Source organism: Homo sapiens, chromosome 5, assembly GCF_000001405.40.
Source record: "Homo sapiens chromosome 5, GRCh38.p14 Primary Assembly".
In the NCBI taxonomy this organism is placed as follows: Eukaryota; Metazoa; Chordata; class Mammalia; order Primates; family Hominidae; genus Homo; species Homo sapiens.
This window is the reverse complement of record NC_000005.10, coordinates 137,208,244-137,232,298: the sequence shown is the minus strand read 5'-3', so window position 1 is coordinate 137,232,298 and position 24,055 is coordinate 137,208,244. Positions and strand designations below refer to the sequence as shown.

The 24,055-nt window shown below is 41.9% G+C and overlaps 1 protein-coding gene across 1 annotated transcript in view, besides 1 other annotated feature; it reads left to right on the top strand.

The window, feature by feature from the left end:
- SPOCK1 (SPARC (osteonectin), cwcv and kazal like domains proteoglycan 1) overlaps window positions 1-24,055 on the top strand; it is a 524,029-nt gene that overhangs the window by 267,028 nt on the left and 232,946 nt on the right. The gene's annotated exons all lie outside the window — the stretch shown is intronic.
- Window positions 11,552-11,701: a silencer, noted in NCBI's record as "silent region_16381". NCBI's record gives its function as "represses an Ori minimal core promoter by ATAC-STARR-seq in GM12878 lymphoblastoid cells {active_cell/tissue: GM12878}" and the evidence as "EXISTENCE:reporter gene assay evidence [ECO:0000049][PMID:35858748]".

The following is a 24,055-nucleotide window of genomic DNA, read 5'->3' as shown; positions in this document are numbered from 1 at the left end:
AAAAAAACATTAAAAATCTTCAGGATTTAGGCCTAGACAAAGAATTCAGACTTGACACCAAAAACCTGATTCATAAGAGGAAAGTTTGGTAAACTGGGCTTATTAAAAAATTTTTAAAAAAGGGTGAAAAACTCTGTTAAGAAGTGAAAAGACAAACTAGACTGGAAAATATTTGCAAATCACATATCTTACAGGTGGCAAGTGTTGAGAATATGTAAAGAACTCTTAAAACTCAAGAGTGAAAAAACAAGCCAATCTGAAATGAGTAAAAGATATGAAGAGACATTCACCAAGGAGAATATATACAGATGGCATGTAAGAACATGAAATGATGTTCACCATCATCAGGGAAATGCAAGTTAAAGTGTAACAGTGGGATATCACTAGACACCTAACAGAATGGCTAAAGTGAAAAATAGTGGCAACACCCAATGCTGGCAAGGTTGTGGAGAAACTGAATAACTCCTGTGTTCCTGGTGGGAATGTAAAGTGACATAGTCACTGTGGAATGCTAGTACCATACAGGGCAGCAATTGCACTCTTGAGCATTTATCCCAGAGAAATGAAAATGTATGTTCATGTAAGAACCTGCACATGAGTGTTTATTAGCAGCTTTATTTACAATAGCTACAATCTGGAATCAGGCCAGAGGGCCTTCAGTGAGTGAGTGGTTAAACCAGCTGTAGCATATCCATACCATGGAATAGTACTTTGCAATAATAAAGGAATGCACTGCTGATACATGCAACATCCTGGGTGAATCTTCAGGAAATTTTGCTGAGTGAAAAAAGTCAGTCCCCAAAATGTTAGACTGTATAATTATATAATATTTTTGAAATGCCCACATTTTAGAAATGGAGAAAAGATTGATAGTTGCCAGGGGTTAGGGATAGTAGGGGAACAAGGGGGCAGGGTCAGCAGGAAGGTGGGTGGGTTATAAAAGGGTGACACCAGCCGGGTGCGGTGGCTCACGCCTATAATCCCAGCACTTTGGGAGGCTGAAGTGGGTCTCCATCACCTGAGGACAGGAGTTCGAGACCAGCCTGGCCAACATGGTGAAACCCTGCCTCTACTAAAAATACAAAAATTAGCTGGTTGTGGTGGCGCATGCCTATAATCTCAGCTACTCAGGAGGCTGAGGCAGGAGGATCACTTGAACCCGGGAAGGTGGAGGTTACAGTGAGCCAAGATCATGCCATTATACTCCAGCCTGGGGGACAAGAGTGAAACTCCATCTCAAAAAAAAAAAAGGGGGTAACACCAGGGATCCTTGTGGTGATGGAACTGTTTTGTATTTGACCATGGTAGTGGATACAGGAAGGTATACATGTGATGGAATTTTGTGGAACTAGGCATACATACACACACATACACAAATAGTGCAAATACAGTTATACTTAGTTTTGTAAGAAGTCACTTTCTGGGGAGGTTGGGTAAAGGAAAATGGAATGTTTTGTAAGAAGTCACTTTCTGGGGAGGTTGGGTAAAGGAAAATGGAATGTCTCTGGATTATTTCTTACAACTGCATATGAATCCACAATGATCTCAACAAAAAAATTCAATAAAAAGATATGATGTGATGTGATCAGGTTTAATATATTTTGAAAGTATTCAAAATGATCAAACAGGTCCTATTATAATATTTTCAGAAAAGGATATAGAAAAGGACTAAACAATGTGACATCTGAAATTCCTATCCCCAAAGTTGATAGATAAATAGGAAATAATTTAATACATATCAGTTTAATTCTGATGCTATATATTTTTTAAAATGAAGTTTTACTTTTCTTCTTACAGAAGTAGTAAAGACTCTTTATGTTTAAAATTTCCAAATAAACACAAGGAATAAAATAAACATTACCTATGAGTGTTTGCTTTTTAATAGACAGCCCAGGCTGTGGTGTTTTGTTTTGCTCTCGCTGTTTCCTTCTAACATTCATTTTGCAGGAAGCTGATGGGGCGATTTTTCTTTCCAAGGAGAATCCCCAAGTCCTTGGGTGTGAATGTCTTTTTCTGACTGGCTGGGTCTGTCTTTCTGCAGGGATGCTATTGGTTTGAGACAAGGCTCTTGCACAAAGTTTAAGAAGTTAGCTACCCAAGAGACTACAACCAAGCATGCATCTTACGTGCACTCAGTGGCTCTGAGTTTATGTTAGGTTGTTGCCAAAAGATGTTTGCATATAAAGAAAGATGGGGCAAGCTTAGTTTCCAGAGTATCCAATCTTGTCTCTGACTGGCCCCTTTTGTTAAGAGTGGAGCATGGGCGAGTCTTGCATTGCCTTTCCTTCATTGGCCAAAGGCTGCCTTCATTGTCACTACTCTACAGCAGGGGTCCCCTACCCATGGGCTGCACAGCAGGAGGTGAGCGGCAGGGTGAGTGAGCCTTACTGCCTGAGCTCTGCCTCCTGTCAGATCAGTTGCGGTATTAGATTCTCATAGGAGTACGAACCCTATTGTGAGCTGTACATGTGAGGGACCTAGGTTGTGCACTCCTTATGAGAATCTAATGCCTGATGATTTGAGGTGGAACAGTTTCATCCTGAAACCATCTCTGTGCACCCCCTTCCCCCAACCCCACCTCCTGGTCTGTGGAAAAATTTGCTTCCACGAACTGGTCCCTGGTGCCAAAAAGGCTGGGGACTGCTGCTCTACAGCACAGTGACAAGGCTGCTCCTAGCTTAATACATCTCTCGTCTGAGCCCCCTGTTATGGACATCTGTTGTTTGGTCTGACCAGACATTAGCCATCCACCTTTCTAGCAGATGGGTCTCTCCTCTTGCCTAATCTTGTGATTCAAGTGAGAGTGTCATCTTCCCATAGGGTCTGTCTCCTGATCAAAAGGAGTGACTGGGGGCCTGAGAGCTACCAGAGGTGTCTCTAGGACCTGGTACTAGACTAGCCTCTGGTACCAGTCATCCTCGAGACCAGCCCCCCTTTTAGCTGTTTGTTTTTATGAGCTAGGGAGGTGTATTCCTTGGCTGAGCTAGTTCACATTGAGTTTCCTTCACATGCATTCACATGTCCCAATTCATACTTTTGCCAAGATCAATATACATTATTTTCTTTTTTTCTCCCCTTTATCTTACTGTTCTTAACTATAAATGGAAAGGCAAAAATAAGTTCATCATTTTATTCTGTCTGTAAGTTTCCTGCTGTATCCCAGTCAAGATAGGTTGAAGATTCCCATTGTATGTCTACTGGGGATGATGCTTTTCCAGGAGCAGCTGCAGTCTGACCACAAATTCCCCTAATCAGAATTTAAGAAGGCCTGGACTGGGCAGCCCAGGTTGCTCCCAGTGCCTGTATTTGCAGTGCGTGAGCTCGGCTGGTTACTGGAAGCCACCCAGGGTAAGTTCTAACAAATTCATGAATCAAGACCAATGCGGGATTGCAGAAGTATATTTAGATTGTTCCTAAATTCTGACATTGCTCCGAGGTAAATCCATTATCTGGGTAAGAGCTACTATGTAGTAATTAAACTGAAAATATTATATTTGTACATGCTTTCTGCCCCTCAGCAAAACATATTTAAAATATTCTTGGAGGTGATTTTTAAAATTTTGCACTTTTGTACTGCAATTCCACCTGAGTAACATTCAAGCAATATTTTGAGAAGATGATTAGGTTTTTTTTGTTTTCTTTTGTTTTTATTTTTGTTTTGAGACAGATTCTCTGTCACCCAGGCTAGTGTGCAGTGGCCCAATCTCTGCTCACTGCAACCTTGGCCTTCTGGGTTCAAGTGATTCTCATGCCTCAGCCTCGCAAGTAACTGGGACTACAGGTGCACACCACCACACCCAGCTAAATTTTTTGTATTTTTAGTAGAGATGGAGTTTCACCATGTTGGCCAGGCTGGTCTCGAATTCCTGGCCTCAAGTGATCCACCCACCTCAGCCTCCCAAAGTGCTAGCATTACAGGCATGAGCTGCTGCATCTGGCTGATGATTAGTTTTTTAAGTCTCATATTGGGTGGGTCCTGGAAAGAAGTCGTTTTGTGATTCACTTCTGTGTTCAGTCTGAAGTCTCACTTGGATGGTTAAGGCTTGCCCTGTGGCCTGGGAGCCATCTTTACAAACTGTGTACAATGACAGCCTCCTTGGTCATTCATGTTGGCTGAAGCCATCTCTGCAGTTGTACCAGCCATGTATCATGTATGAGTCCTGGGGCTTAAGTCATTCAGGGATGCTCAGATCAACTGGCATTGGTCAGAAAGCCCTGTATTCCTGTTTGCAGATAAATGAAGAGGAGAAAATGCAAAGAAAAGAAAACAGGTTTGGTTTACTCATTGTTGCATATTTGGGCTGATTAGCTTTATTAAAGAAAGGGTATTTATACTTTTTCTGCATTGGATATGGATGAGGAAATGTCCAGATCACAGAGTTTTGTGGTTCCTCTTCATAGATGTATCTGCCTCACATGAGGCCCCAAGAAATAGGACAAGAAAGATTCAGAGGAGGGAAGGGTCTAAGAGGTACAAGCTTATGGCACAAATCTGCATTGGTGGTCTGTATCTGGAGTTATTGGCACTGTTGGCTGTTCCCTTTGCTCCTACGATAACTTGCCCTCATCTTTGTTTGCAAAGCCCCAGGGTCTGATCTGAAGCTGTGACCTTTCTTCTAAGAGAGTTATTGAGTTTGGGTTATTCCCTGTTTCCTTACTCTATAGACCTTGCTGTGTAGGAAGCTTTGTTCTTTTCACCAGAGTAGAAGGCTTTTAGGCTCCTTTGCAATTCTCAATGCCTGGTAGTGAGTTGGGCAAGAGATGCCAAATGCTCAAAGACTCTTATCTGTTTCGAGCATACCAGAGCCAGAGGATTGTCAGGATTTCATGACCCTCTGATGATGATGTACTTTAAATCCTAAGTCAGTGACCAATTCTGCTCTTGCTTTCAAATTTCTTTTTTGTAAGCAGCAAAGTCTACTTTTCTTGCAAATGAACTCTCACCTAGAACGTAGTACCTCAAATGGATTAAGGTACAGTTTCTAAGACTGGCCTACTCCTTGCTTTCTACAATAGATGTTGAGGCACTTTCTTGGAACCCCAGGATTTCAGGGTCCATGCTTTGAGGAGTATTGCCATTAAGCATCCTTCTCCACTGCCTTGAAGCTAAGGGAAAAGTACTGTAGTTCACAAAAGACAGAAAGGTCCTGGAGTAGGGTCTTCTGATTCCCTGCATGCTTTGAACTTCATTTCTTGCAGCTTCTCTGGAACCCCTGTTTTGTCCCCTTGTCACAAATCCCTTGTTAGAAATCCTCAGTCAAAATTCCTCATTTTGCAGATGGATAACAGAGGAAGGCTTTGAAAGAGGGAGTTGTCAGAGCTAGCTATCCATGCATTCATTTATAAATATTTCTTGAGCACCTGTTACATCACATTTTTTATTAGGTACTTTATTAGATATGGATCTTGGCCTCACAAAGCTTATAATCTGAATACAAATAATTATCAGCAACATGATTACTATAACATGTGAGGTATAAGATACTACAGGGCACACGGTAGTTATACTTAAACTGGATAAAGGACAAGTAGAAATTAAACATCTAGAGAAAGCAGGGGAGGGCCATCTTCCACGCAGAGGGAACAACCTATGCAAAGGCCCAGAGATGGGCAAGTCCTGAGCCTACGGGTAGGGGTTCCCTAGGGTGTAGAGAGTGAGACCAGAGGAGACTGGAAGCTGTGAAAATGAAAGTCTGGTCATATGGGCCTCATCAGCCATATTGAGGGGTTTGGATCTAACCCTCAAGGAGGTAGGGGATGGTTTGAAGTGGGTAAAGCACAGTGGAGGATGAGGTGGCCTCTGTGGGGCTTCCATGGCATTAAAAACCCAGCCTGTATGCATGGCACTTTGCAATCCAGCATCACTTACTGAGAATAAATGTGGATGCCTTTGCAGCATGATGCTTCACCCCTCGGGGCAAGGAGATCAAGCCACAACGTGGGTGTTAAACAGATTAGTTTGGTCAATAGTTTAATTCTGGCAGCAGCTGAATGACATTATAAAGAATGCAGTGGCATTTCTACTGGAAATGTCTGCCATCGTTTTCTTCATGTCATGAGGAAAATAAAGGCTTCCCAACTCCAGGAATGAATTAGCATGAAAGATGCCCATCAATCTCCCTGTGAAGAATCACTGTGCTGCAGAATTGCTTTAACACAGAGGAGGAAGAGATGATAATTGAGCAGGATGGTGTGCAGCCCACTGATAGTCTTGTGTCAAAAACCCCATCTCTTTTCAGGATTTAGGTTGGGTCTGGATGTCCCTGTTGAGCTGTGGCCTTGGGTCAGCCCAACAGTCCAAGATCCAGGAGCCTGGTGAGGCGTGCTCCAAGTGGGAAGAAGGCTGCCCGCACCATTTCTGGTGCTCTCTGGGGGGAGACCTAGTGTCCTTGAGGGCTAGACTTCTTTTGGTTCTGAGCTTCTCACAAAAGGCTTTTGTTTCCACATATTCCTTTCTCAGTTCTTGAAGTTGGCTTGTCTTTCTCCTTTCTTTGGCACAGTTGTCCTCAAAATGTGATCCCTGTACCAGCAGTATTAGACATGCAAATTTTGCAGCTCCACCTTAGACATGCTGAATCAGTACTTCTGATGATAGAGCCAGAAACCTGTGTTTTCCCAAGCCTTCCAGGTGATTCTAAAGGATGCTCAAGTGGAGAACCACTGCTACATCAAGTGTGTATGTCGAGGCATCGTGTGGCATGCCCTAGCATTTGAGAGTGCGGAAGGTCTAAGTTTGTGTTTGAGTATGGGTGAACATGTTTGATCCATTTAGGGAAGGTTCTGTGCAGGGAAATAGTTGTAGGTAACACCTGAGTAGGGGCTGAGTGAAACTTGAAAGTTCTTTAATACTCGTTAGTACCTAATGAAGATGTTTATGACAATAGCTAACAATTTTGTGTGGGTACTGTGTGACAGTCACTTTGCCAAGCATTGTAGACATTATCCTATTTTATTTCTACAGTAACCTCTATGAGGTAGTTGCATTTACTGTCTCCATTTTATAATAAAAGTGAGGCTCAGAGCAGTTAACTAACTCTCTCAAGATCATCCAACCAGAAAATGGTAGAGATGGAAACTGAGCCCAGTTCTGCACTTGGCCACTGAAGTCTAATTCTTGTCATTCTCTGCTTGTATACTGGCTTTTCTGGGGATGGCCGATTTCAGGATCACCTGGGTTTCCTGTGTGCGGCTCTTGGGCTGGCTTGGTGGACGTGTTTCAATATACAGCCCTGCAAAGAGATTGAACATGAAGGGCTTTCATGCTTTTGGGGAGAACGGTACTTAATCTTCTCTCCAAGAGTAACTTTAGAAGCATAAACAGGAACCAAGAAAATGAAGTGAGCTATTTTACACTTGAAATGTACCACAAGTGAATGACTGCCTATTAAATTGGGCCGGGCCTGTGCTTCCAGCCCCCTGTGATTGAAGCCATTAAAACATAGACCTGGAGTGTGGGAGGAGCCTGGCTAATTGTCTTCCCAGGTCATTGCAGCAGCCTGTGAGAAGGACAAGGCTCCCATGCTGCCTGCGGGTCTCCCTGGGGAGTTTCTTCTTGTTATTAAACAGTTAGAAGTAACAATTTTATTTAACTGGGAAGATGAATCTGGCAGAGGCTTAGACACCTTCATGAAGCCGTGTGTATGAGGTTTCTGTTTTATTAAGCTCAATAGAGTCAGCTTCTGAACTTCAGCTTGCTACTTTCAGGTTGATCGGTGATGCTTTTTCAAGTTTCTCCCTGGTTCTGAAAGCTGCATGTAGGTAGGTACTTTGGGAATTAGGTATGAACTGCCATTTTGATTTTACACCCGTTTCCTTTCCCAGCTAACATTCTTTAAGGATTTCTGTTTGGCTGTTTTCTCCTTATGGACCCCAACTTTGGAGTCTGTACCTTGAAAGCATGTCACTTACTCCAAGGAATAAATGTAAATTAAGTCACAATGTATGTGTATACCCTGCCTACATGGCAAGCAGTCCTCTGTCTGTTCAGCATCTCACCATTTTCCAGATTTATATTGGAGACATCCAGTGATGGACTGCATTTCCCTATGATTTCTCTTTCCTAATAAGCTTGTAGCCAAGTTCCAATAATATATTAAGCTGAGAGCTTTTCTTGTTAATTTCCCTGTAGAAAAGTTGTGGCAAAGCTACAGGGAGACTGAACTTAACAAACAGTGCTGAGCTATGCTGTTCCTCTTTCCAAAGAACCAGCCTCTCCCTTGGAGAGTAAGTTTGTTTAGCATCTGTTATAATGTTAGAGTGTTGCAGGAAATTGGAATCTCTCTGGCATCATTAGTTAGGGGAAAAAGACCTCAGGAATAAACTTCAAGAAATGACTCTTAACCATTCTCTTATTATTTAGTAGGTGCGTGCACTAAGGTGATTCCAACTTTTTCAGATTTAACTTTTTCATAAACTTTATTTTGTACATTATGAACTGATGCCCACAAATGACCCTTTTGTCCACTAGCTTTATATTTTTTTTTCAGATGTTCCTGAGTAGGCAGACATTCTGAACTCTGGCAGGGCATGTCAGCTAACGGTTCATGTTTTTGGCAAGACCATCACCTTTGCTTGTACAACCTTACATGTTTGAGCAATTTTTTGAACATTTAGAACATGTTTTTGCTCATTATTTTATCAACATGTGATAAAATGAGAATAATTTCATCTCATTGTTGAAAATATGTGTTGAAACCTGGGTCTCACAAATGTGGAGATAACATTGGGAGTCATTAAGCAGGCCCCAAATGGTGAATCATTAGTCTCAGATGGATGGTCCCTGGAATTAAGACAGCCAACTACGTAGTCAATTGTGAGGAAAGAGGAAAATAAAGGGCACAAATGAAGTGCTGAAAATGTGTCATCTAAGATGATATTTCAAAAGCTGAGTTATTAGGAATTTCATGCTGTTTTTAATACGTAGAGAACAGACAATCCCCCATAGCTACACCTGTTGTTTCATTGTCATGCTTTTTACTTTTTTTTTTTTTCATGTTATAGCACATTATGTACAGGGCTGCCTTGGATTATAGGGGCTACCCCTTTAATTTGTCATCAAAAGTTCATTTTTCTCATATCATGATTGGGAGAAAAGTGACAAATTAATTGATGGAAATGGTGGTCTGTTCCTGTCTCCATCCTCAGTCTCTTCCTGCCCAGTTGTTATCTCCTTTCCCTGCTTTATTTTTGCCATAGCATGGATACTTGTTTATCATCTGTATGTCACTGGTAGACTATTAGCTCCGTAAGAGTAGGGAGTTTTGCCATTCTAGATCAGCGTGTCTCAACAGTTTTTTTCATTATCACTTCCCTAAGAAGACTTAAATTTTTTTTTCCTAATTGCCTCTCCCCTTTCTGAAATTTAAAGCCACCAATATACTGTGTATCTGTTTAGATGCTATTTGTCTATCTGTGCTTTATATGTAAAAAGAAGTGTAAGATTTTGTTTTCATCCCTCAAAAACCAGTTTTCACTCCCTTGAGGGACAGTGTGGCCCCCTTTGAGAAAGCACATTCCAGACCTAGTGTCAAAAGGAGTACATGGAGCACAGTAGGTGCTCAATTAATTTGTGTTGAATGAATTTGACTTACCTAGGATGTCTGTCTTCATGAAAGTGATTAAACCCACACATAAATGATGTGCTTGCTGTTTTCAAGCACCTGTTTTTAGAATTTCATTGTCTTTTTTTCTTTTTCAGTAGAGGCCAAACAAATGTTGGCTAACCACTTGACAGATATGTGAAGGGGGTCTCCCTCTTATAGTTGTATTAAATCTGTGCTCTTCTTTTAAGAGTCTGATTATCCAGGAGAGGTAATGCTTTAATTGAGGGTCTTATTTAAACCTATAGATAATTATCCCTGATGATCTATGTATACACAGAAAGCAAATGTACAAATTTACTAAATGCTCTTATTAGCTACTGGTGTTAGCCTTTGTTCCCACTTAAGCTCTGATACTGAAACTGAACTGTTTGGTGACAGAGCCCCTGAGAGTATTTTGCTTGGCCTTACCCAAAGAGAGGTTCCCCCCACCTACTCTGAAGTGGGGGCGGGAATCAAATAGAAGCACTTAAACAGATCTTCTTAGTGTACTCTGGATTTGCCCAGGCAGCCTGTGTGTTTTTAGATCCCTTGATACTCTGCAGCTGCTTTGTCCTCTCTCCTGATGGCGTATGTATGTGACATGATAAAAGCCAGAGTTTTGAGTACCTTAAATAAAACAAGAAAACTCGAGGCTTCATGCTGTCCTCTGTGATGGGAATAGTAATAAAAGCATGACAATTGGTGTGTTAAAGAAGCCAGATACCAGGAAGACCTTTTCAGATGGAGTCTGATCAAGGCTTTCTCATCAGACAGAAACAAACCCAGTGCCTGAGCCCTGTGGAGGGTGGGCGCTGCTTCCCTGAGATGCTGTGGGAGGAATAACTGGTTGTGTACATTCCCAGAAGGAGAAGTATTCATTCATCATTTTCATTATTGCCTTGTTTCTCCACAGAAATATTTCAGATGCTAATTTTCTTGGAAGAGAAGATTGACATTCACACTTACTTTTATTTTAACAATTAAAGAAAAATAATGAATATTCATGCCAAGAAAATGAACTTAGTTACAGTCTAAACACATATCATAATGAATGGTTCTGATATTTGGACCCTCATGGCTGTAATAATACAGTTAAGTTCCTAAAATTGGAATCTATTGTCATCTCAGTCATTGACTGAAACTGAAAATATCTCATCGAAGATGTTGTGTAAAGGTCTCGGTTATTAGGAATTTCATGCTGTTTTCGACACCCGGAGATGAGGCAACCACCCTCATAACATATAGATCTGTTGAATTTTTTATTTGCTTTGTTGGGACAGATTCCTTGAAACAAGACCTCTGTGTGTCATATATATTGCCTTGTAATAATTTTCATTTTAGGGGGGTTAGGAGTGCTGTCTCTTCGAGTGCTTTTTTGCAGCTGGATGCACATGGCAGTTTCTGAAATGGGCCTGGACTTTTATAACATGAAGCCATGTGCTTTTCTTAGTAACTATAACTCATTGGTCATTTACCTTAGGATGGACAGACATTTAAAAGATGGAATTTTTGGAAGGTGCCAAAATCAGACATTTAAAATGGAAATTTCCAAGGCAACAGGCTATTTAGAGGAAACTTGTGAATCCTTTTAAAATTGGAATGCCTCCCCCATTTATGTTTCTACATAGATATTTGGGTTTTTATATTCCAGTTTTTCTCAAAGTGAGACACACCTATTTAAGCAGATATATTTCTGCTGGCCACGTTTCTGTGGCTGTTGGCTTACTGTGCTGGAGTGTTAAATGAGTGATTCTAAGAATAATTGCAAAGATGCTTTGAAAACATGGATATAAAGTCACACATCTTAATAAAAGTTGGGGGACTTTTTCACTAGACTTTCTTTAGAATGTTAACATTTTCTGCTCTGGAACCATGTGTGTGCCCGAGAAAGGCTGAGGATTCAGTATGGAGACTAGCAACCTTCACTTATTCACTCACTCACCTACCTATTCGCTGACACAGCCTCTTAGTGACCATTTGCTCAGTGCCTGCTGAGCAGTGATTCCTATCTAAGGTGCTGACGAAACAGATGACTGTGACTCAGTCCTTGTCCTTAGTGTCCTCACTGTTTAGAGAAACCCAACAATTACACTAGAGGGCAGTGGAGTTCATAGTGGTTAGGAGACTAGACTCAGGAGTCAGACCTGGGTGATGTGGGCCAAATTATTACATCCTATGTGATGTGGTTTGTTCCTCTATAAAGTGGGGTAAAATACAAACAACCTCACAGGGCTCTTTGAGGATTAAGTAATCTAAATCCATGTAAAGTACAGTTCCTTGCGTGTGATAATACTTAGAAAATGATGATCCATTCATGGCTTCACAGCCAGGTGCTATAGAGAGTGACTCAAAATGCATCCTGGGGGGCACTGCCAGGCAGGGCGACTCAAGTGAAAGGATTAGTTATGTACATGCCCCCCAAAATGAGAGAAGGTTGTTTTCTTTTTCCACAGATTTAACCAAAATGGTGCTTTTGGAAATGAGGAGTTGTCAATATGGGATGTGGAGGACATGATTTTGAGGTCATTTGATTTTGTTCTGCACTGCTCTGTCTCTGTGCTCCCCATCTTCCTCCCTCTGAAACATGGGTTCTTGTTGCTCTATCTAGAAACACCACCCTCCTGGGTCAGGAGATGCAACTGACCCCCACTAGATGGAGGGCATGGTGTCTAGATACCCTGGGCTATTCTTTCAGAATCTACTTCTGGGGCAGATGGAGTACTGGATGGGTTGCCCAGGGCTTAGAGACTAGATCAAGAGAATCCTGAAGGCCATGGCTCTAGAAAGGTTCACATTTTCTAATTACTTCTTCAGGACCTGCTCACTCTAAGGAGGCAAAGCAGCTCTAAAAGACACCATGGAGGCCCTATAAAATCATCATGTCTCTCCAGGAAAAATAGCCACCTAGGTTATCTTCAGTGAAGTAGACTAGGGGCCCAGCCAGGGCCAAGACCTCAGCTTCCTAAGCACTCAACACAGCCTGGACAGACATATGTTCAGTGAATACTTTGATCATGATGAGCTCTAGAACATTGGGCAAAGGCACTATGCCAGTTATTGTTTCTTCACACATCTGTGTGTTTTCTGGCAATAAGGTATACTTTCTCATGAAATTTGACCTGGAGTTTTGTTTGGTGGTATTTTGAGCTTCTATTCATTTGGAGAAAAAAAGGCATGATTCTTAATTGCTGTAATTTTACCTTCATGAATTCAGAAATGCGAGTCCTGGAATAATGAATCCCCTTTTATAAAGAAACATATTTGCAGCAATGCCAATTCCTGGCTCATTAGGCCCATTCTAGCAGCGGAGATGTCTGGCTTTCCCCAGGGCAGGACCTGCTAAGTGTTGGGATACTCTTACTTTTTCCAATCCCTCTGCCTCCACTGAACTCCACCTCTCACAAGGAAGAGTTAACATTTAATGAAAGGATCTTTTGACACCCACTGCCAGAATCCTGCTTACTTACCACTCTGCAAATAATTTTAAATGAGTGATTTTTGTCATCTTAGCATCATTAATTCAGGTTCACACAAAGAACACAGTGTATTTGTGTAAAAGGCTACTAGACAAATTAAGAGGGTGATGCTAGCATTTCCTGTGTGCAGATTTGGCAGCCGTCATCTATTTGGAGAGATTCCAGGTGAGATCCTAGGGAAGAGAGCTTTGTATAAAACAGGTTTCTTCTCATATGCCTCCTTAAGGTTCCCCCTTGCAGGTCTTACAACAAAGGAGTGCCTTGGTGGGGACCCTGCATTTTGTCTGTCCCACTTCAGCCTGCTTGGAGCCAGCCTGGGCACTGCTTTTTTCCTTGTTGATGATTTTCTTTCATATCACCATGCCGCCTCTGCCCAGGTACCTGGCAGCTAGTTACCTTTGGTGGTATTGTCTGGTATGGTGGTCTGATGAGAAGGAGCTCCTCCTTGGGCAGGTTTGGGACCACCTGTGCTTGTTGTACACCTTAAATGTAGGGGAAGAATCTGACTAGCTACTATAGGACTCAATTCTGGCAGCTTGCTTCTGCTGTGTCTCAGGAATGAGACCAGTGGCTCATTTGTTTGATGTAGCTGAGTCATACAACTTGTCAATTTTCCCAGCAAAGCGTGAATAAAATCTAGTCTTTCCAGAAGGATTAAATAAGTGGCATTGTTGTTCTTTTGCTTAATTCACAAGTTTTCTGGGATTCCAACTTCAAATATTTGTTACCTTGAAAGGAAGTTAATTTCTCAGCTTTACAAATTGTTCATTTCAATCAGAACAAAGCAGGAATGCTGTTTTACAGTTGTCATTAATTGGATAACTTGCAATGTCCAAGAACCATGTGTTAGGGCTGTATTTAGAGCAGTCTCCTCTGGCACCTGATGATGTGGTCATCTTTGGTATACCTTCTATTATTTCTCTCTGGTCAGTTAGAAAAGGCACTGTCCTTTGCATAGGGAGATCTTACCATCAACCCATTAGACCGAAAGTCAAGAGACCAAGATTCTACTTCCAACCCTGTCACTAACAAGCTGTGCTTCCTTAAACAAATTACACCCCTCTGATGGGATTCCATTATCCCAGAGATGAAGATAAAGGATCGAGCTTCATCTTGAACTCTGATTAGTCAGAAATGGATTTGTGGTCACAAGTCAGTGGGGAAGAATTCTGTAATTGATTAGCCATGTCTGCCTTAGGGGAGGAAAGGGTGAGTGTTGGCAATCCTGAGCTGGGTCTTGCCAAATCTCCTTCTCCTTCTCCTTCTAACCATCTATACCTATGTAGAAATATAGATGCGGTAAGGTTGGGTAAGTAAGATAGTGCAGTATAATGGATAGGAGTAGGGTTGGAGCCACACAGCCTGATTTCTATTCCCGCTTGTCACTTATTAACCACGATACCTTGGATACATTACTTAGCTTCTCGGAGCTGTAATTTCCTCATCAGTAAAAGGAGAGTGTTGTAGTCCTTACCACAAAAGATTGCTATGACTGAGTCAGGCGTTTTAAGTACTTTGCATAGTAGATGATCAGTAAAAATGTTATCAAGCTGTTCTTACTAATATAAGAAGTACAGTGAGTACTTACTTCAGTAACAGTGGCTGACTTTGCCAAGCAGTTTTTTATTTCAAACCACAGTGTGATACCGACATTTGGATGTAGATGACAACCTCTAAGCAGCACAGAGGCGTGTTACATCCCATCCCTGAAGAGGAAATCCCATCTTTAGAATCAGAGCATTTGAGCTGGAAGCAATCGCAGAGTCCATGTTTTACAGATGGGAAACGGAGGCTGTGGTGGGGGAGGCTCTAGTCCAGTGTCCCTGGGTGGAGGCAAGGCAAAGTGGGGCCTGTTCTCAGACTCCAGCACATTCTTGAACTCTGTCTCTTTCCCCTTGGCTTAGTGCTGCCCAGCACAGGGGCCTCTGCAAGAAGAGGAGTTAATGCTGGATGAGATGGTGCTCTCTCAGTGCTCCTACAACCACGGGCTCTGGGGAGTGATTTAGATAGAAGCAAAGTGCTGCTTTGTCACTGGGAGCATGTTTATTTATTCATTATGTTTGAAAAGAGACTCCAGTACATGAATGAAATTCTTCAGTCAACTGAGTTTTGTTGTCTTTGTTGGTTTATCTTGATTCCTTGTGGCTTCTCATGGGCCTCCCTGTCTTGTTCTCTGTTCCCAGTGTCAAGTCTGAGCTCTCCACTCCCTTCTCCCAACCTAGGCCTTCAGAAACTTGCCTCCTAACCCACCTCCTGCCTCTGGGCTCCTCTCCTTGTCCTCAAGCCTCCTAATTCCTGCCTTATGCCTATTTTAAAACCTTGCCTTTTGGCCACTTCTTTCCATTGTGATTTCCTACTTATCCTGAAAGTCAGCCAAAAGATCACCTCTTTTATGCCTTTCCGAGTGATGGTTTCACAACACACCCCCGACCCCTGATTCCTCCAGGTAGAGTTGGGTGGTGTTTTAATCTCCCTTGCTCTTATTTCATACTTGCTTATTTTACTAACATATTGCATGAGCCCTTTTTTTTTAGACGAAGTCTTCCTCTATCACCCAGGCTGCAGTGCAGTGGTGTGATCTTGGCTCACTGCAGTCTCTGCCTCCCTGGTTTGAGTGATTCCCCTACCTCAGGCTCCTGAGTATCTGGGACTCCAGGCATGCACCACCACACCTGGCTAATTTTTGTATTTTCAGTAGAGATGGGGTTTTACAACATTGGCCAGGCTGGTCTTGAACTCCTGACCTCAAGTGATCCACCCGCCTTGGCCTCCGAAAGTGCCGGGATTACAGGCATGAGCCACTGCACCCGGCCTTACTGTTATGATCCTTGAAAGAAACATTGCTATATTATACAATTTGTATTTGCTATCACTAGCATAATGGCTGCCCTGGGTGAGTATTTTATAAATGTCTGGATGTTGAACTGAATGAGCCATAACAGCTAATGTTTCTTGCATGCTTTCTTTGTGCCCAAAGCTCTGCAGGGCCATATACAAGCATCTCATTTGATTATCTTGAGACCCCTCCTCAAGACAGCCTTCACCTGCTGAATGTGTCACCCATTCTGTCTGAGTCCCTCCTGTCATTTAGGGTCTACCTCAGTGCCCCCTTTCCCTGCCATGCCATGGATTGCCTGATCATCCTTACTCTCTTCAGAACTCATGTCATAGGGAGCATTACATGATGAGCCATCCTTTCATTGGACATTTGGTATGCCCCCTGGATCATTTGCTTCTGTAAAAGAGGGGCCAGGCTTTGACTTTGAACCTGGATTGAACCGCAGTTCTGCCACAGTTTGACCTTGGGCCAGCCACTGATCTCTTTAAACACTAGTTTCTTTGTCTCTAGAATAGGTAGTTATGTGTTCCTAAGAACTTTAACTGGCATAGAATCTGAGGATTAACCTCTGAAATGAACCGTTATGCATCAGATCAAAAATGTGCAGTTATCCTGAGGATACCTTGTGGTTCCTGAATCTACAAAAATTGACAAACTCAGAGCTTCACCAAAACTTTCTACCACAAACTGCTCATGGTAGGGGAACATGAACCCTATTGCTGGGAGGTTTGGGAGTATGGCCTGAAGCAATCTTTCATAAACCTTAAATTTCTTTGAAGTCTTAGGTTTCATCTTAAAAACTCATACACATTTGGAATTCTACTTCTTAACATATCTGTGTTTATTTTGGTATAAAAAATGTGTAAAATTATCATCCAGTAAAATTTACATTCCAGGAAGGTACTGTCATCACAACTGTTCTAATTCTCATTGAAGACGAGACATTTTGGTGCTGTGGCTTTTCCTCTTGTCCCTCAAAGCTTAGTTGATGTAAGTCTTCTCTAGGTGGGAGGGAAAAATCTGACCATAGGGACCCTGCAGAGCACAGTTCTTCCTTTCCTGGTCTGAAGGCCAGACCTGTATACAGGGTGATTTCACCAAGTGGGTGAGGCTGCCTGGAAGACATTTCACCTCATTGCCTGGGTGAAAACCAGGTTCTTAACATTAATTTGGAAGGAATATACCTGTTTTCTATAGAGGTAAAAACATCCTTCTCATATGTCTTAGATGTGAAAACCTATAGAAAGTTTGGTTCTTGGCACATAGTAAGTGTTCAGAAATATTGTTTTCTCCCATTGAAATTACAGACCCTGCCACCTACCCACCCACACTAGCCAATATTTATCCAGTATCTTTTGTGGGCAAGACTTTATCTTTCATTTATTGAGTCACAGTGTGTGTGTGTATGCTTAGGACATGGTATGCCTTTGGTCTGCACCCAATTAAGGAGTAAATATTAACTTTTCCCTTGTAATGGTTACATTGAGCTTTTACTTTAAAAAATTGGGGGTAGGACTTGTGAATTAAAAAATATGCATAGGAGTGGAATATTTCTACAGCAAACTGATCATGATTTGATATACTATAAATTCTGCCTCATGTCATCTCTACTCATTCAGGTACTTTCTTTAAAATTCAGCTCAAATATAGTTTCCTGACCACGTCAGGCCCCACTATCTCTTGCTCATTCCCCCTTATCTCTTCTCATTTGTATCCTGACACTAGCACTTGGTATGTGAGGTATTGTTTCTGTTTATCTTTTCATGCCTTTGTCTTATTATTTATCCCAATTGGTTTGAAGGTATAGACCACAGCTACTGATACATGCTTATTCAATCAGTCATCTGACATCGTTGTTGTTGAGTGATTGCAATGTGCCACAAGTCTGCTTGGCTGTAGAGAAATACTGGTGAAGCAGATAAACATGATCCTTTCTTTCTAAATGAATGATGGAGCCACATGCTTCTGTAAGGGGGGATTCAGCCTTGTAGAAGTGACATCACTTTCTGGTGTCTGGATGTTTTTTATTGTGCCTTGGCATTGGTACTCTAGGGAGGTGGGCTCTGTATTTGATTCAGACAAACTTGGGTTTCAATTCTGGCTGCACCACTTGCCAGCTCTGTGACTTTGGCCAACATATATCTCCCCTCCAAGCTTCAGTTTTTTTCCTTTGTAAAATAGAAATAAAAATAATCTCTTTTTTATAGGTTGGGGAGATAAGTTGAGATAATACAATGTCTGGTTCATAGCAGTAAGTAATAGTAATTTTGTTAACTATTTACTGTCATTTGGAAATATTTTCACTCTTATTATGTGTTCGACCCTGGGCTAGGTATAATGCTAAGTATTAAGGAATATTATAATGACAAAGGCCGTTGCACTTGAGTTTTGGTTGCAGTTTTCTTTGGTCTAAGTTTCCTAGTGTTGGTATAAATTAAATGCAGACACGAACAGATGCACATTGGTTTTGTTGTTGTTGTTGGCAGTACTTCTGTTGACACTGTTCTTGCTTCAAGAGTACAATGAATTAAAATGATGAGACCAGGGCAAGATTTGGTTCCAGGGCCTTGCTGTATACAACAGCAACCCCAGATGGGAGGAAGGTCATTATCATCACAGTAATAACCATTCTCCCAGGTGTGTGTGTGCTGCACCCTTCTATTGGAGTCTCACTCAAACTCCAAGAAGGAGGTATTGTTCCCCTATTTTACAGATGGGGAACTAGAGGCTCATCAACATACTGAATTAGTTTGGAGCATGTGGTCATTGAGTGGTGAAGACAGTACTAGAACCAGGTCTCCTGATTCCTAATCTAGTGCTCTTGCGAGCGTGGTGGTTAGAGGTAGACCCTGGCCTTGTCACCCACTTGTGTAATGTGACTTGAGTTTGTTTCTTCTTCTGTAAAATGGGGATAACAATGGCACTTGCTTGATAGAGGTTTGATGGCGTAAAATGAGAGAATATAATTGCTCTGCACAGAGCTTGGCTCATCAAGTCTAAAAATATGAGTTCTTGATAGTGTTGTTGTCAGTATAGTCAGTGTGCAGAATCTATGAGACTTCCTGGGTGTGAAGTCTGTTTCTGCACTTACTTGTTATGTGACCTCGGGTTAGTTGCTTATCCTCTCTAAGCCTCAGATTCCTCCTGAGTAAATGGGGATAGTTGTAATGAACATGTGCACTCTGAAAGCAAGTGCTCAGTAAAGGGTAGATATGACTACAGTGGTGCTGGGGTGGATGATTTCACTTGATTTCTCCACTCTTTTCCCCCTCATCAAGAATGAAACCCATGACTATGCCCCAGATTATCACCTTTTATGGTCTCCAGCTGCTGCATTGGGCTTTCTCCTTCCTGAAAGGATCCACAGTGATTTGCAGAGGCCTCTGCAGTGCATTGAAACCAAGACTCATGGCCTTGACCTCCCCTAGACCTGGCTGAGCACCTGCCCCCTGGTCAGCAGCAGCTTGAGTCTGGGAGGTCAGAGGCTAAGCTTGGGGTTATGTTTACCCTACTCTCCCCAGTTTTCTATTTCAATAGACTGTGCAGCGTCTTTGTCCAGCCAACCGCTTGAGGCTGTTATCCACGTGCAAGAAGTGAGCCTCTGACATTGTCTACTGCAAGGAAGCTCAGCTTCAGGGTAAAGCAATCTGGCAACACACAAAATACAAATTTAGGAAATTCTGGAAATGCATTTTGAAAGGACTAAGTCTCCTTGCCTTTGGCCCAGGGCCTCTAGGTCAGTCATGGACTAAAAAAGTAACCATATGGGCTTCTCACCTGACCAAGATAAGATTGTTAATCAGGCACTATGCAGGCAAATCAGGCCAAAGTTGATGCACAATTCCTGCTGTCTGCTTCTGTCCAGAAGAATCCACAGTGCCTGACACATAGTACATATTCAGCTTATGTTTGTTGAATTAATAAAACTAATCTGGAAAGAATTATGGTTTAAAGGGATTCTAAGAAATTGCACCATCATTCACGTATTAGTTGCAATATATTGCAAACTTATTATTTGCCAGACACTGGGTGAAACACTTTGATTGTCCCTGATTTTTAGTCTGAAGCATTAAAAAAAAAGCCCTGTTTTTTCTCTCTACTCTCAACACACTCAACACACTCAATACAGAATAACTCACCTTTAGTCACCACAATATGTGAGGATTTCTCCCCACCAACACCTGATTCTCCAGCAGACACTAACTGGATGTCCTACAGTTTAACTTAATTCTGTCACTGTCTACCTGGAGTTGCCATTGGATCCCACAGGTTAAGGGCTCACTCTCACAAGATGGACCCCCCTTCGGATGCCAGTCATAAGCCCCAGGCTGTGATCTGTGCTTCTGACTGATTGGCTATAAATTGGGGTTCCCATAACCCTCTTCTCAGCTTTGATTAATTTGCTAAACCTGCTCATGGAACTCAGGGAACCACTTTACTCTCATTTACCCATTTATTATACAGGATATTACAAAGGGTACAGATGAACAGCCAGGTAAGGAGATGCATAGGACAAGGTGTGTGGCAGGGGGCGGGGCTTCCATGTCCTCTTGGGGTGCACCACCCTTTTGGATTGTGTTCAACAATCCAAAAGTTCTCTGAACCCTGCTTTTGTGGGTTTTATGGAAGCTCCATTACATAGGCGTGATTGATCACATCATTGGCCATTGGTGATCAACTCAACCTGCAGCCCTTCTCTCCAGCCGAGAGGTTGGGGTGGGACTGAAAGTCCCAACCCTCTATTCATTCCTTGGTCTTTCTGGTGACCAGTCCCCATCTTGAAGCTATCTTGGGGCCCCCAACTGCCAGTCAACTCATTAGCGTACAAAAGACACTCATCACTCCAGAGATTCCAAGGGTTTTAGGAACTGCCTGCTAGAAGCCAGGGTCAAAGACCAAATAGTAGAACAAAACATTCTGTATCTATAGAATCTTTCTATACCCTTATCCATAAGAGTTTTAGGAGCTTTGTCTCAGAAACCAGGGGCCGAGACCAAATATGTACTTCTTCTTTCACAATATCACAGTAACATCCCTATTGAGGTAGGTGCCCTGTATTTTGTAGTTGTAGGACCTAAGCCTCACAGGTACTTAAAGACTTGCTCAAGGTCACACAGCTAGTGGGTAGCTGTGGTAGAAATCTGAGATCTATTTGACTCTGAAGATCCTGCTCTTAACTCCTATGCACCAATGGGATCCAGGATAGTAGGAGCTAGACTGTGGAACTGTGTTTCTTTACCTCCCTGGACCTCTGTTTCTTCATCTTCAAAGAAATAGCATTAGATGGGGGCTTCGGAGGTTTCTCTTAGAACTATCATTCTCAGTCTTCTTTCTCTTTGGGCATCAGGTATACGAAGGGCTGAGTTATGACCCCAGCTTGTCTCTCTGCTGCTGGTGTGTTGGCTGCTGAGAATGACAACTGTGTTTCCATATTGTTTTGGCTCATTACAGAGAATTATAGCTGATTGGCTTTTGGACAGAGTACTGGGGGAATGAACAACCTTAGAATTGAGCCCCTGGACTCCAGTGATGTCATGCGGCCAAGTTTACTGACAATTTTGGGTCTAGATATCTCTCTTCCCTAACTGGCATAAAGCCGGACTAGGGAGAATACAAATAACAGAATTAGAAGATGAGAGCTGTGCAGTGGAGCACTGGGCAAACCTTCACCTCCATCCCAGCTGCCCCTGTGTGCCTTGCCTGGTGACTGGGTTATCTAGAGAATGACAGCTCTGGGACTCACAATGATGACTTACTGGAAAAGGCTCACCTTCACCTCTCCAGATGCCCCCTAGTCCCAGACCGTGTATCTGACCTGTATTACAAATGTGCCTTTTATTATGTCTCTCCTGAACCTTCTTGAGTTAATAAAAAGGATTGGTAGGAGGCTTTTAAATAATGGAATGAAATGACTCTGAAATAAAACCGATTATTCTAAAGCATTTCAAAAACAAGTGCACATGTTTTTGTGTATTCATTCTTAGTTCTCCAAAGACTAAGATGTGATATTGCCTTAAGGGTTCCCTAGATAAATAATGTATCCAGTTCTAGCCTGGAAAATATTAAGAAAGCAAGGAAGTTCTCTGCTTCTTTAGGTGGCATTTTCAGTGTTTCTTTGAGATGAATTCACGTAAAACTTGGCCCAGTTTCTTTTTCCTGTTCTATAGAAGAGGGAGGGTGTGCAAGAAGAAGGGAAGCTGACAGAGCATGGAATGAAATTGAAACTCATTTAGCTGATATTATACAACTGACATCTCCTCATCACTTTGCTCAATTGTCCTATGTATAACAGGGTGAAGTGTCACCCTGAAATTTTATAGAATTGGAAATGCAAGGAGAAGAAGGGACCACTCTGGATCTTACATTTGGTCCCAAGATCTTGCAGTTCTGGCTTTGTAACAAAAAATCAATATCAAATCTAGTTGTGTTGGCAAATACACAAGTTTGAAAAGACTATGGTGGAACATTGAGAGCACTGAAAGTACTTGAGTCTTAATGCCCAAGAGCATAAATATGGATTTATTACCTTTGGTGTTTGAGAAAGTTTATTTTTCTCTGCACTTCCTGTGGTTTTATATTTGTATACCAAGCATATTGTGTGCCTCTTTTAAAACTTGATCGCAGTAACCACATGCTAATTGACTGTATGAATCAATTTTCTACCTTCTAATATAATGTAACTTTCCTGGCCATTGTTAGGCGAAAGGGTTGGGTTCTTGTTTTGTCCTGATTTGACTGACGCTGAGACCGAATTCTCAGGAGGGCCATAATGGAGGCAGAGTACTGTCTAGTAATATGTGGTTAGTCTGATTTAGTCAAACCCAGTGACTTCTCATCTGTCACAGAAGCCACTCTCGAGGTTCTTGGCTCAACAAATTATTATGAAAATGGTTTCACATTTACTGCCAATGGTAATGCTGCCTGCTTCCAACTTTGGGAAGGATATTTACGGTGTTTCTATTAGTTTGAGTCATATCAGAGCAAAATCAAACTACCTCCACATCTACTTGCGCTTACAAGCAATTCATTTATAGCATGCAGGTCATGCGATGCTGGCTCTGACATGGCCTGGTTATTTAGGGTTTTGGCAGCCTTAATAGCTTCGAATTACCCAACAGAAAATATATTTTGGAGATAGGAGATAGTAAAAACAGTCTTTGTGGGTAATTCCTACCATGGTGTGGGATTTGATATTGAAAGGGAGAAAGATTGTTGCTGCCACATTCAAGAGGCTACATACAGAAATTTTTTAAAAAGATGTCTCATTAGGTTGAAGGGTGGAAATAACATTTGTTGAGTGTGTTCTTTGAATTCTTACAACACTCCTATAAAACAAGCACTTAATTATCCCAGTTCTACAAATGAGGAAATGGAGGTCAAAAGGGGCTAGGAGACTTGCTGATTGGTGATTGTTTCATCAAGAAGGAATGAAACTGGGTTTTACAGTCAGACAGAGCTAACTCCACATTCTGTGTTCCTTCCTTTACTCCATAAAACTAGAATTCTGCTTAGTTTTATTTTTTTAAAATAATTTCAACTTTTATTTTAGATTCAGGGGGTACATGTGCAGGTTTGTTACCTGGGTATACTGTGTGATGCTGAGGTTTGGGGTACACCTGATCCCATCACCCAGGTACTGAGTATAGTATCCAATAGTTCATTTATGGGTCCTTGCCCCATTTCCTCCCTCCCACCTGTAGCTGTCTCCACTGTCTATTGTTGCCATCTTTGCATCCATGAGTACCCACTGTTTAGCCCCCACTTATAAGTGAGAACATGCAGTATTTGGTTTTCTCTTCCTGCATTAATTTGCTTAGGATAGTGGCCTCCAGCTGCATCCATGTTGCTGCAAAATATGTGATTTCATTCTTTTTAAGAGCTGCATAGTATTTCATGGTGTATATGTACCACATTTTCTTTATCCAATCCACTGAATTTCAGATATGAAATGGTGTTTTGGATGGCGTGGTCTCTTTAGGGAAGCAGAATTCAGTCTTTCTCCCATCTATGAGTTGTGTGGCCTTTCTTAACACCTCTCAGGCTTCATCTCCTCATCTCTAAAAACAAGGACAACATCCTCCAGTTCACACAGTCATCCATATTATAATAATTCTGGGGCAAAAGTTATTGATATGAGCATATCCACAGAGCTCCCTGCT